We start from the raw sequence: 16,867 nt of genomic DNA on the forward strand, positions 1-16,867 counted from the left end.
TTGGTATTCTAAATATCATTATCTTTTTTGAAAGCCTACTTAGGGTAATAGAAGGATCAGGAACTTTGGACTCTTTGACAGATTTCTAGTTTTTTCTATTTTTTTGCTATTCTGTAAATTCTTTCAAAAGATTTTTATCAGGTGTTTACTGCATACTCTGAAGTGCTGGGATATATCAGTGACCAAAACAGATATGACCCCTGCCTTCATGTTGCTTACAGTTTAATAGGGGAGATAAGTGTCTACCAAGGAATTCACACTAGCCAGAGAGCACATTGCCCACACAGCATCCAGAGTAATCTGTTGTAAGATAAATCAGACTGTTACTTCCCTGTGCCAAAACCTCCACTGGCTTCCAGTTTCATTTGGAAACCTTCTGAGTTCTCAGTATGAACTGCCAGGCCCTGTGTGATCTGAAATTTGTAAATCTCGTCAACCTCTCCACCCTCATCCTCCATCACCTTGTGTTCTGCTAGTTCCTCTTCAGCCACCCTGATCTTTTTGCTATTCTTGGAACACACAAGTTTATGTTCTACCTCAGGGCATTTGCACTTGCTGCCCTTCTGCCTATGAAGCTGTTTCTCCAGATACTCTCATGTTAGAGTCCCTCACCTTATCCAGGCCTCTGCTTAAATATCACCTCCTTAGAGAAGCTTCCCCAACAGCATTATCCAAACGACACCTTCCTTCACTCTCCATCACCTTTATCCTGCACTATTTTTCTTCTTGGCAATTTTCACCACCTGACATGTAATTTTTTAAAACACTGGATGGTGACCCTTAGGTATCTATTCAAAATGGCCATTCTTGTGCACAGCTGGGGTATGATGCCAGTGGGTCCACCTGTAGGGTAATTGGATGGGCCTGGCTGTCTCATGGGAGACTCCAGAGTCTTTTCTTTTGGGAAGGCAAGTTTGTCCAAAAAGAAATCCTGTGGGCTCCTCCTTAGAAAGAGTCAATATATGATGGCACTTGAGCTTTTACCATGAAGATTTCCACTGAGTTCCCCTATATTCCAGAGCTGCTCACCCTTGCTCCCTCCTGAACTTGGCGTTCTCAGATTCATCCTGATTCCAGCAAGGGAAATGTCCTTTCATCTGCAAGGAGGTGCAGGTTGCTGGGCTGGGGGAGGGTGGAATACAGCCATGCCACAGATGCTTTATTAGTCTTCTCTGTTCCCTGCCTGCCTTCAGAGGCACTTGGAACCCCCAGTTTCTGAGGTTTTATGAAGTTCTGGTAGGAAAACGAGTTTGTTTATTGGTATCTCCCCCTGCAGGCAGATTGAGTTAAGATTTTCTGCTCAGCTGAGTCAGATACCAATTGTCCGTCTGTTCCAGCTTCCAAAATTTTGTGCACCTCCCTCAACTGCCATTGTTTCCTCTCCCATTCTGTTGTCTTGTGGGTTTGTACCTTTTTTATTCCTCTATCTGGTTTAGTGGGACGTCAGACAGGAGCAGGGATAGACAAGATATGTCTCATCAATGTAGTTACATGTGGAGGTAAAAGCATTGATGTAGCAGTACAGGATGCTTTGAAAGCATAAAATACAGAAATCTGGTCTGGTGTGTCGCATACATTTAAGAGGAGACTTGAAAGCTAAGTAGGAGTTAATTGGGCAAAGAAGAAGGTAGGATTATTTCTGGGGAGGGGAACAGAGCCTGTGAAGGCCCTGAGACTGGAAGAGGATTTGTTCTACAGGGAATGGAAAGCCCAGCCCAACTGGCATTCATTGAATTTGCTGTGGAAAAGCAGAGTGACACATTGCTTTGGTGAGGATTGCAGATGGTGAGGTAGAACAAGACAGTCACGTTAAGGATTTTGATCTTTATCCTAAGAGCAACAAGCATCCGTGTCTGTGTTACCTCAGTAACCTTGGACCTCGTAAACTCTGGGTTCTTTTATAAACCAGGCACAGTAATATCTACCTCACAGAGCTGTGTGCATTGCATGACATCATATACACACTATATTGACTTAAGACTGTCATATTTGTTTGCTCAACTCATGGATATGAAGGGCAGACTGTATACCTTGTCAGGTACTTTTTTCTTTTTATTGTATCCCATGGGGGAAATGGATGGTAGATTGGTGGAGGTGGCTAGAATTGTAAAGAAAAATATGAAATTCACATGAAGGCTGGAGTTACTCATATGACAACAACAGCTTATGGGGCCCAATTCTATTGCTCTTGCGTCTGTCACACAGTTGAGGTTTTGGAATGAACTACGTATGCCATCCTTGTTGGACAGTGACAAGTCACTGTAGCCCCCTAGGAGAAGAACAGTATAATCAAGATGTCAGGTTGAGGAATAATCTTTGTGATCAACTGAGTGAAAGGTACAAAGTAAGAAACAATTGAGAGGCATTGCTCTGGGCCCAAAAGTCTAGTAACAGGCAATTAGAGGTTAAAGGATAAGCATTTGATAGTGTTCTAGCTATACTGCAAAATGAATGCTGCATGAAGGCTAACTGAGAAGCTTATCAGTTGGTAGTTGGGAACTAAAGAGGAAGCAGGCACCAAGGAAAGATGGAAAGTTCTACACACCTTTGTTAGTTACACATGGAGGTAAATGCATTGATGATGAATCTGCCATTTTTAGGTTTTCATGTTTAAAAAGTTTCCTGACAATGTGTCTAGCAATGTGCTAGACACTGTAGATAATATACAATAAAATATTAAAGAGGCGGCTCGTCCTCAAGGAACTTTCAAGCATTCATACATTTCTGTTTGATTGTAACATATTTATTATTTTAAAGAACTGGCCAGAGAGTTGCATGTTCTGTGTAGGGATAAATAGCAAGTTTCAGGCCCCTGCATTTATTGGCACTTACGTACATGGTAGTCCTCACACCTTTGCCGGACAGCACCAAAAATCCTGCGGAGCTCAACTCTGTGACCTCACCCTTTGAGCCTGGAAATCAGCATGAACTCATGATCTGACAATCCCGAACAAGCTAAGCATTTCTTAAAAGAAAGCAGTGACTTTTAATAGGTCTCACTGATGGTGTTCCACCGATTAAATCAGTCAAACAGAATTGTCACATTGAAGATTATCTTGGGTTTCTAGAATTCATTCTAGGTTTTAAAGATGCAGACAGATTCTGAGGGTCACAAACGTCAGTTTGCCAAGTATGTTTAGGCTGTAAAGTTATCCATGAAAAGACCGTGTGGTTTGCATGAGATTGATTGTGATCGGATGTAACTACATTGCTTTTTACAGCTCAGTAGAAACCACTTTCAATTGCAAATTGTAGCAGAAGCAGGCGTCTACTTAATTTTGATCTTAAAGAATTTCAAAGAGAATAAATGCACACTAAATAGTGGTGGATTTTGGTAGTATACGCCAACATCACTTTTTATTTAACACATGCAGAAATGTGTACTGGTAGAGAAAATTGGTAGAGTGAATTAAAGTACAGACAGATCCACATTGACTTTAAATGAATACATGCACGGTCAGAAAACGGTAACCCTGGGCAGGAATCTTTAAGTTTTCAGGGCTCATTAGACAGTGAGCAGGTGAGGCTCAAGGCTGAGTTTGCAACTGTGCTGTGAAAACTCAAAAATGAAAGTTTTTTTCATTTCTGAGCCTGTTGAAAAGTGGGTAAGAAGGGAAAGGGCAGTCTCATAATAAAATAATATGTAAAGGCTAACCAAATAACCCACTTTAGTCTTTACTTACTGGCAGGCAGCAACATGTCCTATTTACAGAGGGAGGCTTTACCTAAGTGGTTATATGTAAATGAACCACCTTTTCAATGAAACAGGATGCACCTGTCTAGAGGTGTCTGTTACTAGAGCAATGGATGTTTGATTGGACTGACAAATTTTATTTCCTTTTTGGAAAAAAGAATGTAGGTGGTATCAAATCACCCTTTCTCCTGGTAACAATAGGAATTACTTCTTGAACTTGAGAAACCAGTAGTTGCTTGACCTATGTTTTTTGCATTTAGCATAGTCTTCTAAAGTAGTAGGAGCATACGTTTTTGTCTTTAATTCCCTGCAGACCCCTTCCCCAATGATCATCAGCAATACATCCACCCATAAATCAATGAAATCATAAAAAAGAAACATAAAATTCACTTGAAAAAGAATACCTACAAGGCATTCCTAGAATTCTCAATGTAAGTCATTTTTTGCCAGCAAAGCTAATTGTTCTCAAATATTTGATAACAAGGATGGCATACGTAGTTCATTCCAAAACCTCAACTGTGTGACAGACGCAAGGGCAGTAGAATTGAGCCCCATAAGCTGTTGTTGTCATGTGAGTAACTCCAGCCTTCATGTGAATTTCATATTTTTCTTTACAATTCTAGCCACCTCCACCAATCTACCATCCATTTCCCCCATGGGATACAATAAAAAGAAAAAAGTACCTGACAAGGTATACAGTCTGCCCTTCATATCCGTGAGTTGCACATCCGTGATTCCATCCAGCCACAGATAGAAAATATTCAGAAAAACAAAAAACAAAAAAAAAAAACCCACAAATGCAACAATAAAAAAATACAGACTTTCAGAATAGCATATAACAACTATTTAGATAGCATTTACATTGTATTCGTTACAAGTAATCTAGAGATGATTTAAAATATACAGGAGGATGCACATAGGTTATATGCAAATATACACCATTTTATATAAGGGATTTGAGCATCCTTGGATTTTGGTATCTGGGCGGGGGGTCCTGGAGCCAATCCCTTGTGTATGCAGAGGAATGACTGTACTGGAAAGCAAAGTAAAGCTACACCAAAGAGGGTAATAGCAGGCTATAAAGTACTGAGAGAAACTAAGAGAAGAAAGTGAGGTACCTCTGACAAAGGAGTGCTTGGAAGAGAAAGGATGAATAGAAAAATGGGATTTCAGGGAATTCATTGATGACAGGATGACCTACTTAAAAATGACAAGGGCCATGTGTGGTGGCTCACACCTGTAATCCCAGCACTTTGGGAGGCCAAGGTGGGCAGATCACTTGAGGTCAGGAGTTGGAGACGAGCCTGGCCAACACGGCAAAACCCTATCTCTACAAAAAAATACAAAAATTAGCTGGGTGTGATGGCACGCGCCTGTAGTCCCAGCTTCTTGGGAGGCATGAGGTGGGAGAATGACCTGCGCTCAGGAGGTTAAGGCTGTGGTGAGCCGTGATCGTGCCACTGCACTCCAGCCTGGGTGACACAGGGAGACCCTGTGTCAAAAAAAAAAAAGATAGGAAGTGAGCAAAAGAGAGGTCATAGATAATGGCATGATGAAACAGAGGAAAAAAAGGATAAGAAGGAGGAAGAAAAAATGTACAATAAAACGAGAAGGAAGGATGCAAAATGAATATAGGAAAAACAAGAGAACTGAAGACAAGAGGAAAAAAGGAGATGGTAGAAGGGAGGAATGAAAGTAAGTAAAATAGGAATGAAGTTCAAGATCTATTTAGCCATAGCTAAAGGAACGTATTATCAGCTATTGATTTCCTCTTCTAATAAAGAGGAGAATGATATGGATAGTCCAGAATAATGGATCATTTGCAAAACATTAATGTGTCTTGACTTAAGGTACATGTTTATAATTACCTCGAACTGTATATTTGTCTTCTTCCATGTGTGGTTTTAAATTATTTTACCAAAATGGGGAAGCCAGGAGATACATACTTGATTCAGTAAAACCAGCTTTTTATTCGTAGTTTACTTCCTGCTGCATCCTTTTTTCGGCTGAGAGGGATCAATGTCTGCAGGTGTCCCTTAATCCATAATTAAACCATATGCACATCTACCCTCCCAGTTTCCCTGCCCACCATAAAACCTTCATCTTGGCTATTGCTTGGAAAATGGGGAGGGAATAGAGCTTCTGCTTTTTTTTTTTTTTTTTTTTTTTTTTGGAGAGAGTCTTGCTGTGTCACCCAGGCTGGAGTGCAGTGGCGTGATCTCAGCTCACTGCAACTTCCGCCTCCCAGATTCAAGCAATTCTCCTGCCTCAGCCTCCTGAGTAGCTGGGACTACAGGCACGCACCACAACGCCCAGCTAATTTTTTGTATTTTTAGGAGAGACAGGGTTTCACCATGTTAGCTAGGATGGTCTCAGTCTCCTGACCTCGTGATCCGCCCACTTCAACCTCCCAAAGTGCTGGGATTACAGGCGTGAGCCACCGCACCTGGCTGGAATGGAGCATTTTACTTGAGACCTCTGTGAGCTGGTCCTGAGTATGAGTAGTGAATTCCAACCCACTTTTCTCCTAATCCCTGTCGTGTCCTAGAGTGAGAATATACAGAGGGGTTGGAAGTGGGTTTATGTTCATGGGCTTTCTAGATGGACTTTCAAGTCCAAGTAGAAGTCCAACTTGAGAGCTCGTGTAGAAAGCCCTTGAATGTAAACCCGTGAAGAAAAGCACTTCCTTATTTCAGAAAGAGCACAAAAGACCAGCAATCCAAAGGCATTTCGAAGACCTTGAAAGAGCTGGGAGTGGCTTAGGTATGGAGGGTGCATGTGTGAGTACAAATGGCCCCTCAGCTCAGAACCAAGCATCTGTGTGCCATGATCCATGGTTCCTAAATATCATGGAGGGCAAAAAGTATAAATGTGAATTAATGCAAGAGAAACCACACTGAAATAAAAAATACCTGTGGTCTCTTGAGATTCAAGTTGGCAAAATCCAATCTAAAAGATGTCTGACTATCACAATTAGTGAAGTCCACAGGTCAGATTTTCCTCTCTGTTCCTGATTAGGATTAACCTGGAAAGGTGGATTGGGTCCATCTTTAATAATAACTACACCTTCTGAAAGATTTGAAACTATTATTATCTCTTTGTTTGCTGCTGCTTTCATAGATTTATGGTAGGACTTGGGGTTAGATGGATGATCCAGGTCACCTATTCCAGCCTCACACTCTGCCTCTATTCCAAATATGACATCACTGAGCGATGGCCACCCACCTTCCCTTGGATACCTCTAACAATGGGAATCTCACTGTTTCACAGGCAGCTCTTTTTTTTTTAAACACCTCCAATTCCAATTTTTAAACACCTCCAATGTCCAGAAAGTTCTTTAAACTCTTAAATACATGACATTTATTAAAACAAAGCCTCAAACCACTTTCAGAGTGGTGGTACAGCAAATAATTGATTCTTTTCAGGGTTTTTCCCCCCTGTGTTTTTTGTCTTCTCTAACTCAAATCATTGCCCGGATATTGCTTATAACAGGAGCTCAGCCTCAACCAGTCTTTCTGCTTTTACCACATGCTCTAGTGGAATCTAGATTACCGGACTCATTTCGAATCTAACTAAAAATGAGAAATGCTCTGTTTATATAAAGCTTGGCAATCAATAGGAAAAGGAAAGGCTGTTTAGCAAAGGCCAGTGATAATTCCAAGAAGCAGTGTCTTTTGGAATATGCTATGGTGACCTGGCCACTGCAGCTATCTGCTTATCTGTCTGGTTTCAGATTTCCAGAAAGGACTCGCTGCCTTCGAAACACTTCCCAGCCCTTCCTTGGGTGCCTGGATTTCTACCATTAGCAGTTTACTCCTTGAGCATGGATTTTTGCAGAAAGACATGTAGACCAGGGAGATGGCTCATTAAGCTCTTGGTGGTCATTTCACCAGAGCATTTAGCATTTTTAAATCCCTTCCTGGATGCTTGTTTTAGTGATGATGGTGGTGGTGAGATGAAGCAGGGATGTGTAGATCATGAAGGGATGGGAAAGGGGATGATTTGGTTGGAACGAAGCAAAATAACATTTCTGAGTGCCTGCTAAGGTCCAGCACTTTTCACACGTAAAATTTTCACAACAATCCCTGTGAGTTGGGATCCAGTTTCTACAGATGAGGAAATGAAGACAGGAGACTAGATGACCTGACCAGGTCCTAGGCCAGTCAGGAACAGAGCTGGGATTTAAACCAGAGCTGCCTGGTCCAAAACCTGTGCTGGTCCTGCTATTTTATGACACCTAGAAGGGAAAAGGGCAGAGAACTGGAAAGCTGAGATGGAATCACCTACTTAAGAATTTTGCAGAAGGCTAACCCTGTCTAAAAGCATCGCTTTGCAATCAGACACATGTGGCAGTAAAAATGTCCCAATGCTAACTCATTTTAAGCCTTGGTTTTAGTCTACCTAAAATTTATAGAACACTGTAAAATATGCTACATGTAATAAGATATTTATTAGGAGTCTTCTTGCACTTGTTCAGAATGCTTTTTATTATGTTTCTGCTCATTATTGTAGATATTCTCCCATTTTGGAGAAATTGACCGCGTGCACACTCTTCACTGGAGTTTTGCACAAATCTTACCAGAAAACTGGTGAAGATCAGTCCTGAGGCCCCTTCCGCCTCTAATTCCTTGCAGTATTTTGGCTGTACTATGTGCTGTTACACTAGATCACAATAAGCAGCTGCCAGTTTCCTCACAGGTTCCCTTGGGGAAGGATATGGGAATAATTCTTAGGAACCCCCCACAAATTATAGCAACCAATGCAGTAAAACCCCTTTAGCTCACTCCTCCCCCTGTGCTCACTCACATACTCAAATATATTTAGTGCTTTCCTTCCTCTCACTCCGACACTTTTGGGAGAGCCCTGGGGGTGGTTGAGTACCTTGTCCTTGGGTGGATTTTCTTGTTTTCTGAGACTGGCTGCCATCAGACTTCGGGAGAGGATCTTACCAGAGGCGGGTCTCTTCTTCCCCCGCCACCGCCCTCAGTATTCTTTCACAGCCACCACAAAGCCACGCTTTCTCTGCTAAGTACACATTCCTAGGACTGTAACAAAAGGCTTCTGTGAGTTTGAAAGCTGCAGGGGAGGCTCCTGCGTGAAGGCCTAAGATTTAAAGGGTTTCATTTCTCCTGTGCTGGGGACTGTATTGAGTGCAGTTTGAAATCTGCTTCACCACCACAAGGGGAAATAGAAATCAGCCCTAAAGCTGCATGGAGACCCCGGCTGGTCTTTATCCTCATAGCTTAGTGATTTCCTGCCACCCAAGAGGCAGTGAGGGGCTCCCTGACATTCCGGAGGCCCCAGGAACCCTGGCTGCGGTGACCCGGTGCTGGGGAGGGAGTGCATGGGGTAGGCTCCTGGTTGTGAGCCTTCAGTTCGCCGGGATGTCTATGCTGTGCTGTGTGGCTACTTAGCCAAGGCTGTGCATGCCAGCCGGAGCCAACAGCTTCAGCAAACCTGCCCTCCGGGGAGAGTGGATTTCATTGTTTTCAAAGAGATACAGGAAATCAGAATTTTCCATCCTTCCATGGAGAGACTTGGATTGGACTGAGAAGAGAACCAGCATTAAAAAGGAAGTCTCCTTCCCTTTCTTCCCTGCCCCTCCTCACCCCAGCCCCAGCCCACCCGCCAGGGGCACACCCTCCCTCTGCCGGCCTTTGGGTGGAAACCTTCCTGCCTGCAGCACAGGCAGTGTGAACTGCGGGGCTGTCTGAGCAACCCAGCTCTTGCCTTTTCAGTAGCAGAGGTAATGTGGCCACGACTCAGAATTATGGGACCCCAGATGCTGAGGAAGTAAACTGACTTCTTTTCAGCTCACAGCAGACGCATAGACAACAGAGTAGATTTCATGTTCTAATGAAACAGTGTAGAAACTCTGTCCTTGGTGGCTCAGTACTGTGTGGTATGAGCCTCTGCCTCCCTCCCTCCCTCCCTCTTTCCTTCTCTTTTCCTCCCCCACCCCTTCACGGCCTGCCCTTTCCTGATTCTTCAGAACTGACAACTATAAATCCAGCCCAAATTCCTTTAAACAAAGGGTCACCAAGAGCACGACCTTGAAAAGACTTCTTGTGATATGCACTTGCAGAGTTGCATATTGTTCCTTGGATTTAGGACAGGCCAAAGAAATCTTCCACTTTATTTAAGAAGAGCCTGTGTGGTTCGAGGCCAGGGCCGTGGACATAGGATTAACCACAATAATAATACAATGAAGTACACATGCAAAATGAAAACTTAATAATGAAGAACTACTGATTTTTTCCAGGGAGTATCAAGCACTTCCTTGTAAATTCTTACAAGGCATGAATTATTTCCTAGAAATGATTTAGGCTCTTTTGGAAAAGTGCATTGATTCTTTTAACATCATAATTCCAGTTACGGTAAAACCTCCATTATCTGATTTTCTGTGAATTGCAAAGCTATTATTAACTGGTACATTTTATATTTTACCAGTACAGTGACAGCTGATATTTATAATGGTGACCCCAAAGTTCTGTAAAATGCCGAATTACCCACTCAGGAATCAAAGAAAGATTAAATTGTGTTAAATAGAGTTTTTCATGTTAAGTGTCTTATTTTATTCAGATCTTGTTTTAGAAAGTCCAAGTGTACATCCACCATAATTTTCGAGGGCAGTACCAACTTAAAATGTTTTATCTTTTCTTGGCTTTGTAAACAAAACCTTGTAAAAAAAAATTTTTTTTTTCAATACTTTGGGTTCAAACTACAGATCATTCGATCTCAAACCTGACAGGTAAACAAATTTTTTTTTCAGAGTAAGTATTGCAGACATGAAAGATCATAAATGTGTTCACCAAAGTGAGTGTGAGACAGATCACCCCAAACACTCTCCACTATTTCTCTATGATCTTAGCCCAGCTGTGTGTGTTGTGAGTCATGCCTGGGTCTGACACCAGCATTCAGAGGCTGGCATAGCTTAGCATCCACATCATAAAGGGCTCAGATCGATGGCTCTCCTTGTCAAGCTCTGCAGCCCTCTCTCAGGCTTTGTGAGATGTGGTTTGCATCATTTTCCTTTAAGGAAATGTTATGCAGAAACATAAATGCAGTATACAACGAGGAGGCTTTCACCAAGAAATTAAAAGGGTACAGATGTCTAGGAATGCAGGGGTTAAGACAAAAATGTACTGCAGGGAAAGAAATGTGAGCAGAATGCCCCTCTTTTCGCCTGCTTCTGCCTTGCATCCAGCCCTTCCCGGGGAGTGTGATGTGAACTGCCATCCAAGGTGGCTGTGGTACAGGGGCAGGGTCTGGGGGCTGCTTCTGCAGCTTCAGCGCAGAAAACCCAGAGCTCAGTCCCAGCAAAAGCCTAAAGGAGAAGGAAACAGAGGCCCTAACACAACAGAAAATGATGCACCCCACTTTCCTGTGGTTCATCAGTTCACATACTTCCCAGGAGAAGTCAAATCACGCCCCAGAATAGGATACCTACTTAGGACTTAGTGATGTTTTATAGTCATGTCGAAGAACCTTCACATCCATGGCCTCATTTGATCTCACAGCAAGATGGGCATGATTAAAAAAAAGAAGTTACTCCCACTTTCCAGATGAGAAAACAAATTCAAAGACAGTGAGTGCCTTAGCTGAGTCCTATCCAAGCAAGGCAGGGGGCAAAGCCAGGACTAAAACACAAGGTTCTAATTCCTTCTCCATGATTTCCTGATGCCCATCATACCCTAATAGAATAGGATCACCCTGCAAGGCAACTGGTCCACATGGAGAGTCCTCTTGGAGGACACCGACCCGTGGTGCCACCTCTGATTTGCAAGTTGGTGCATTAGACAAGCCCTGGAATGACAGCCAGAAGATCTCTATTCTGATCCTGGCCCTCCGTCTACTTGGGCCACTTTGATCAAGCCATTTAGCCCCGTTCCCTTCAGGTGGCTCAGCTGGAAGTAAGAATGATAATGCCCATGCAGCTGACTCACCTGGTGACTGTGAAGGCCAAATGAGATGATGTGTTTGAGAGCACTTTGCAAACTGTGGAGTATTGCCAGCCATTTCTCCTAATTTGGCTCAGGGCAGAAAGACATCCAGGTGAAGAGCTTGATGTGTGTGATGACTTAGGCTTGGGGATATTTGTGAACAGGACACAACAAATAAATTCGTTTGACGGGCAGAGGGACAGTATGCTGGGTATAGTAGAAACTCTTGGAACCTGCAGTTATTGAAGGGTTTAAAACTCAAAAATGATACAGAAGGCAGTTCTATTACAGTTTCTGCTTTTTTGCTGTTCAACACCTCTGAAGATGGTGCGTTTAATCCTTCCTGGGATGGCAGGTTATAGATGACTTCATGCTGAAAGTGACCCGTAAGGAATATCCGTATATTTTGAAGTGTATGTGGTTCACCAGGCAGAAAACAGTCTGCCAAGTCTCTCATCCCAGGCAGAAGGGGTGGCACATGCGAAGGCCAGAGAATGCAGTGCCTCTGAGAACTGTCAGATGTCAGTGTGGCTGGAGCCAGGTCTGCTAGAGGGTGAGGTTGGAAGTTAACCAGGAGTTTAGGAGGCCCTGGGAAGCCTCTGAAAATATTTAAGCAAAAACAGTTAGCTTTATGTTTTTGTTGTTGTTGTTGTTTGAGACGGAGTCTCGCTGTCACCCAGGCTGGAGTGCAATGGCGCCGTCTCGGCTCACTGCAACCTCTGTCTCCCAGGTTCACACCATTCTCCTCCCTCAGCCTCCCAAGTAGCTGGGACTACAGGTGCTCGCCACCATGCCTGGCTAAATTTTTTGTATTTTTGGTAGAGACGGGGGTTTCACCATGTTAGCCAGGATGGTCTCGATCTCCTGACCTCGTGATCCACCCGCCTCGGCCTCCCAAAGTGCTGGGATTACAGGTGTGAGCCACTGCGCCCGGCCAGCTTTATGTTTTTAAAAGATCATTGCCTCGTTCTTGGTTCTCAGCTCTCTGATCCTTTTAGTTTTTATTGGATAGAGGAGAGACCTTAATGTATACAGAGACTAAGGAACTTGGAATTGGAAATCTGCCTGGCTCCCTTTCCCTCAACGTGCCTGCAGTCAGCCATCTTTCTCCAGCTAAGCCAAAGGATGGTGGGGGCACCACACAACAGAGAGCTGAGTTAGAAAGGGTGGGAGGGAGGTGGCTGAAGGGTCCCCACTGCAGTTGACAATTTGAAATAAACTCCCACTTTCCTTCAATATTTTCCTATAGCAAATGGAAACTTTGACCAGATACCAGCTTCTTTCCATCCTTCCATTAGACTCACAGCCCAGTTAGGATGTTCACAGTCCCAAGCCAGGGATAGCACATGCCATTACCATAGTGGGCTGGATAGGGGGCAGGAAGCAATGCTTTCCAGCCCTTAGAAGCCTCTGGTGATGTGCTGTGAACATGGTGAGGGAACCCGAACTTTAGAGTCAAACAGGCTGGTCTGCAAACCCCGGTTCCAGCACTCACTGGACTCAGGATCTTCCCAAGTTAGTTAACTCCTCTGACCATGTCTGCATTTTCTCATCTGGAAAATGGGAACAGTAATATCCACCCTCCAGAGCTGTTATGAAGATGAAATTGAAAGTGTCTCCAACGCACCAGGTATATAGTATAATCTCAATTTATGCTTTTGCCCTTAGATGCCAGAAGTTAATATTCTTTCAATACTTATTCTCGTAGAAGCAAAAGAGATCCTGTTTGTGTGATGTTCCTACAGCCTCTGCTGTACTGTATTATGAAAGCTCAAGAAATAGGAGTTAATGATGAGGCACAGCAGGAAGAAAAATGTCTCTAAGATGCCAAACAGGGAAAATTTAGGAAGAAATAAGAACCAAAAAATAAATCAGTTGATCAGGGTAAAAAATGTCTTATGCTCTGAACTTATAACTCTATGGAGTAATTTCCACTAATGATCTCAGTGTCTACTTAACTAATCATGTACTTTTCTAGCCAGAAAGACAGTACTTGTAGGGTACGTTCCATTTTAATGCACAAATCATTGTTGCTTTTCAAAAAGTCATCTTTTTTTCCCTGGCCACACACAGCACCCCGAGGCCTGGCCAGCCCCCATGCCAGCTCAAGAGCATGAACTCTTACCGGAATGGGTTCTGTGGGGAGTACAAAGTCAAACATAAGTAGGCTTGCATTCAGAGCTCACTGCCTAGCGGGAAAAAAGACATATGCACTCATAACTCTAATTTAACACGGCGTCCTAGAAATTCCATATCCATCTTCAAAGTTCTCTGGAAGCAAAAAGACAGGAGGAAAGACATTTTTAGAAGGAGGCTTCCTGGAAGGAGTGACTTCAGTTTCAGGCCTTAAAGGAGATGTGAGTTTCCACATGCAAGGAGGGAGGAAAAGCATGTTGCAGACAGACGAAGCAAGTGTGTGAGCAAAGGCCTGCGGGGTGACAGGGAGGGGTGTTGGGAGGTGTGTATCTGGATGAAGGCAGGTATGGAAAGTGCTGGGAAAAAAGGTCTGGGAAAGGGCCTTGGGGGCCAGGTGATAAGGAAGTTGAATGCCTCTTTGAAGAGTGGGGTTTTATTTTATGTGCCTTTGGTGGGGAGTTGTGAAGGTTTTTATTCAAAAGAGCAGTGGGGCTGGGCACAGTGACTCACACCTGTAATCCCAGCACTTTGGGAGGCCAAGGTGAGCAGATCACGTGAGGCCAGGAGTTTGAGACCAGCCTGGCCAACATGGCGAAACCCCATCTCTACTAAAAAATACATAAGTAACAAAAATTAGCTGAGCGTGGTGATGCATGCGTGTAATCCCAGCTATGCAGGAAGTTGAGGCACAACAATCGCTTGAACCTGGGAGGCGGAGGTTGCAATGGCCTGGGATTGTGCCACTGCACCCCAGCCTGGGCGACAGAGCGAGAGAGACTCTGTCTCAAAAAAAAAAAAAAAAAAGCAATGGGAATGGTTCTTAAGGAAGATTTCTCTGGGCACACTGTATGTTCTCACTGAATATTTGGTGTGGTTTGGGTTTTATACCAGTTACGATATGGGGCTTGGTATCTCTGAGCCTAAAATCTGTGCTTTCCAAGGACAGTAGAAATGCTAGTGTTCACTTTGCTCAGTACTCTTCCCTCCACTTGGCACTCATGCTGCTTCTCAAGCCTTGGGGTGTCCCTGGTTCTGGAGTCCCTCCTACCCCTGCAGCCCTTTTCTAAGCTATAGTCTCACCCCTCCTCTGCAGGCTCCCAGGCAGCCTCACCTCCTCCTGCAGAGGGATCAGCTGTCACCCTGCTCCTCCCTCCTGGCCCTCAGCCTACCCTACCCACATGCATTCACCATCTTACCAGTGGAACAGGCGTCCCTCTCCTGTATACAGAGGTCCCTTCCCCTGAGCTCTTCTGCCTCAGCCTCCCCAGTGGGCTTCTCCCCTCCTTCACAGTCAGCCTCTTTCTCATTTGCACCTAGTTCCATTCCATCTTCAAAGAAGCCCACTTGGATTGCACATCTCTCTTCACTACCACAAATCTGGTTCCTCACAGCCAAGTTCTGGAAAGAGTTCTCCACATGGTGTCCTCCTCCTCACCTCCCATTAGCGCCTCAACCCTCCGTGATCTGGTTTCTACGCCTGCTGCCCCTCTGCCCTGGCTGCAGTCCCCAGATGCCGAATCCATCTGCCATCTGCTGCCCGAAACTCTCCTGGCTTGCAAGATACCACTGTCCTCTGACTTGTCCCCGGTCTTGTCCCCTGCTGTTCCCTCCTTTAAGAATACACCTTTTCTAAATTGCCTGCTGCCTAAATGTTTTCCTCTGGAAAACTCACCTACTCCAGCGGCTTCAACGATCATCAGTGCGATGGGGACTTCCAAATATTTTTTATCTCTAGCCTGGGCCTTTCTCTTAAATAACAGATGCATGTGTACAACTGCCTACTGGGCCTCTTTACCTAGATGTTGTACAGTTACCTCACATTCAACAAAGCTGAATATATCCCCCGCCAATCCATCCTCTGTGGGATGAGATGGGCGGGCCCCTCTATTCATCTAGTTTCAGGAATCAGGAGCTTGGATTTTGTCATTGACTGCTTCCTCCACATTGAATTAATCTCTTAAGTTCCATCAATTCTACCCCATGGTATCTTCAGCCCATCCTTTCTCCATCCCTTCTGCTTTAGTTCAGGCTAACAATATCTGTCATCTCCATTTCTGCAACAGCCTCTGACTGGCCGCCTTGTACCAGTCTTGCCCTGTTCTAATTCATTCTCTACTCTGCAGCTGGAGTGATCCTTTGAAAACAATATCCGATTATGTTACGCCCTTGTTTAAAATTCTTCAGTGACTCCTTGTAGCCTTAGGATAAAGCCTGAACTCCTTAGTACAGCAGACAAGGCCTTCCAAGGCCTTCCTAATAATAGCTAACACTTATGAAGTTCGCAATCCATACCCCACACTGTTCTAAGGTCCTTACACATATGTCAACATACTTAATGCTCATAATTCCTGACGTAGGTCCTGTTACTATCCGAGTTTTACAGTGGAGGAAATCGAGGCACAGAAAGGTAAGGCACCTTGCACAAGGTCACACAGCTAGGAAGTGGGAGAACCAAGATTCAAACCCAGGAAACCTGACTCCAGGCCCACACTCCTTAGCACCATGCTGCACTGTCTCCATCATGTGCCGTAGCTTCTCATCCATTCAGAAATATTATATTGAGTACTGAAAATGGGCTAGAAGCTGCTTGAGACACTGGGGATATAGCAGGAATCCAAACAAAGGTCCGTTCACATGCTAGTGAAGAAAATGAGTAAGAAACAGCATGATTAGTAAAATTATTAGGTAGATTAGGGATGAATGCTAAGAGAAAACAAAAATAAGCAAGAAAGAAGACCGGGGGAGTCTGAGAACAGATATGCGATGTTAGAAGGAGTGTCCAGGGAGGACTTGAAGGAAGTGAGGATGTCTAGGAGAAGAATATCAGCTGAAGGAACAGCAAGTCCAAAGGCCCTGAGGTGGGAATAGTTCCTGGTAGGTCTGAGGAACAGCAGAGAGGTCAGCGTGGCTGGAGCAGAATGAAGGAGGGAAAGGATGATGGCAGGAAAGGATGGTGGGAGCTGGGTACAGACAGGTCAGGTCATATAGGGCCCAGAAGATCATTGTAAAGACCTTGGCATGAACTGTGAGTGAGAGATAGGAAGCCACTGGGGGATTCTGGGCAGAGTGACATGATGAAACTTACAAACAGAGG

General features: G+C 44.1%; 1 protein-coding gene across 12 annotated transcripts in view, besides 4 other annotated features; it reads left to right on the forward strand.

Moving 5' to 3' along the window:
- The window catches only part of ETV6 (ETS variant transcription factor 6), a 245,704-nt gene that overhangs the window by 154,299 nt on the left and 74,538 nt on the right, over window positions 1–16,867 (forward strand). The gene's annotated exons all lie outside the window — the stretch shown is intronic.
- Window positions 8,374–9,036: an enhancer, noted in NCBI's record as "H3K27ac-H3K4me1 hESC enhancer chr12:11965280-11965942 (GRCh37/hg19 assembly coordinates)". NCBI's record gives its function as "activates a minimal SCP1, AML or CMV promoter by ChIP-STARR-seq in naive H9 embryonic stem cells {active_cell/tissue: H9 hESC(naive)}" and the evidence as "EXISTENCE:reporter gene assay evidence [ECO:0000049][PMID:30033119]".
- Window positions 8,374–9,197: a biological region, named in NCBI's record as "Sharpr-MPRA regulatory region 735".
- Window positions 8,903–9,197: a silencer, noted in NCBI's record as "tiled region #8395; K562 Repressive non-DNase unmatched - State 23:Low". NCBI's record gives its function as "represses a minimal TATA promoter and a strong SV40 promoter by Sharpr-MPRA in K562 cells {active_cell/tissue: K562}" and the evidence as "EXISTENCE:reporter gene assay evidence [ECO:0000049][PMID:27701403]".
- Window positions 10,423–10,717: a silencer, noted in NCBI's record as "tiled region #6497; K562 Repressive non-DNase unmatched - State 23:Low". NCBI's record gives its function as "represses a minimal TATA promoter and a strong SV40 promoter by Sharpr-MPRA in K562 cells {active_cell/tissue: K562}" and the evidence as "EXISTENCE:reporter gene assay evidence [ECO:0000049][PMID:27701403]".

Source organism: Homo sapiens, chromosome 12 (genome assembly GCF_000001405.40).
Source record: "Homo sapiens chromosome 12, GRCh38.p14 Primary Assembly".
NCBI lineage: Eukaryota > Metazoa > Chordata > Mammalia > Primates > Hominidae > Homo > Homo sapiens.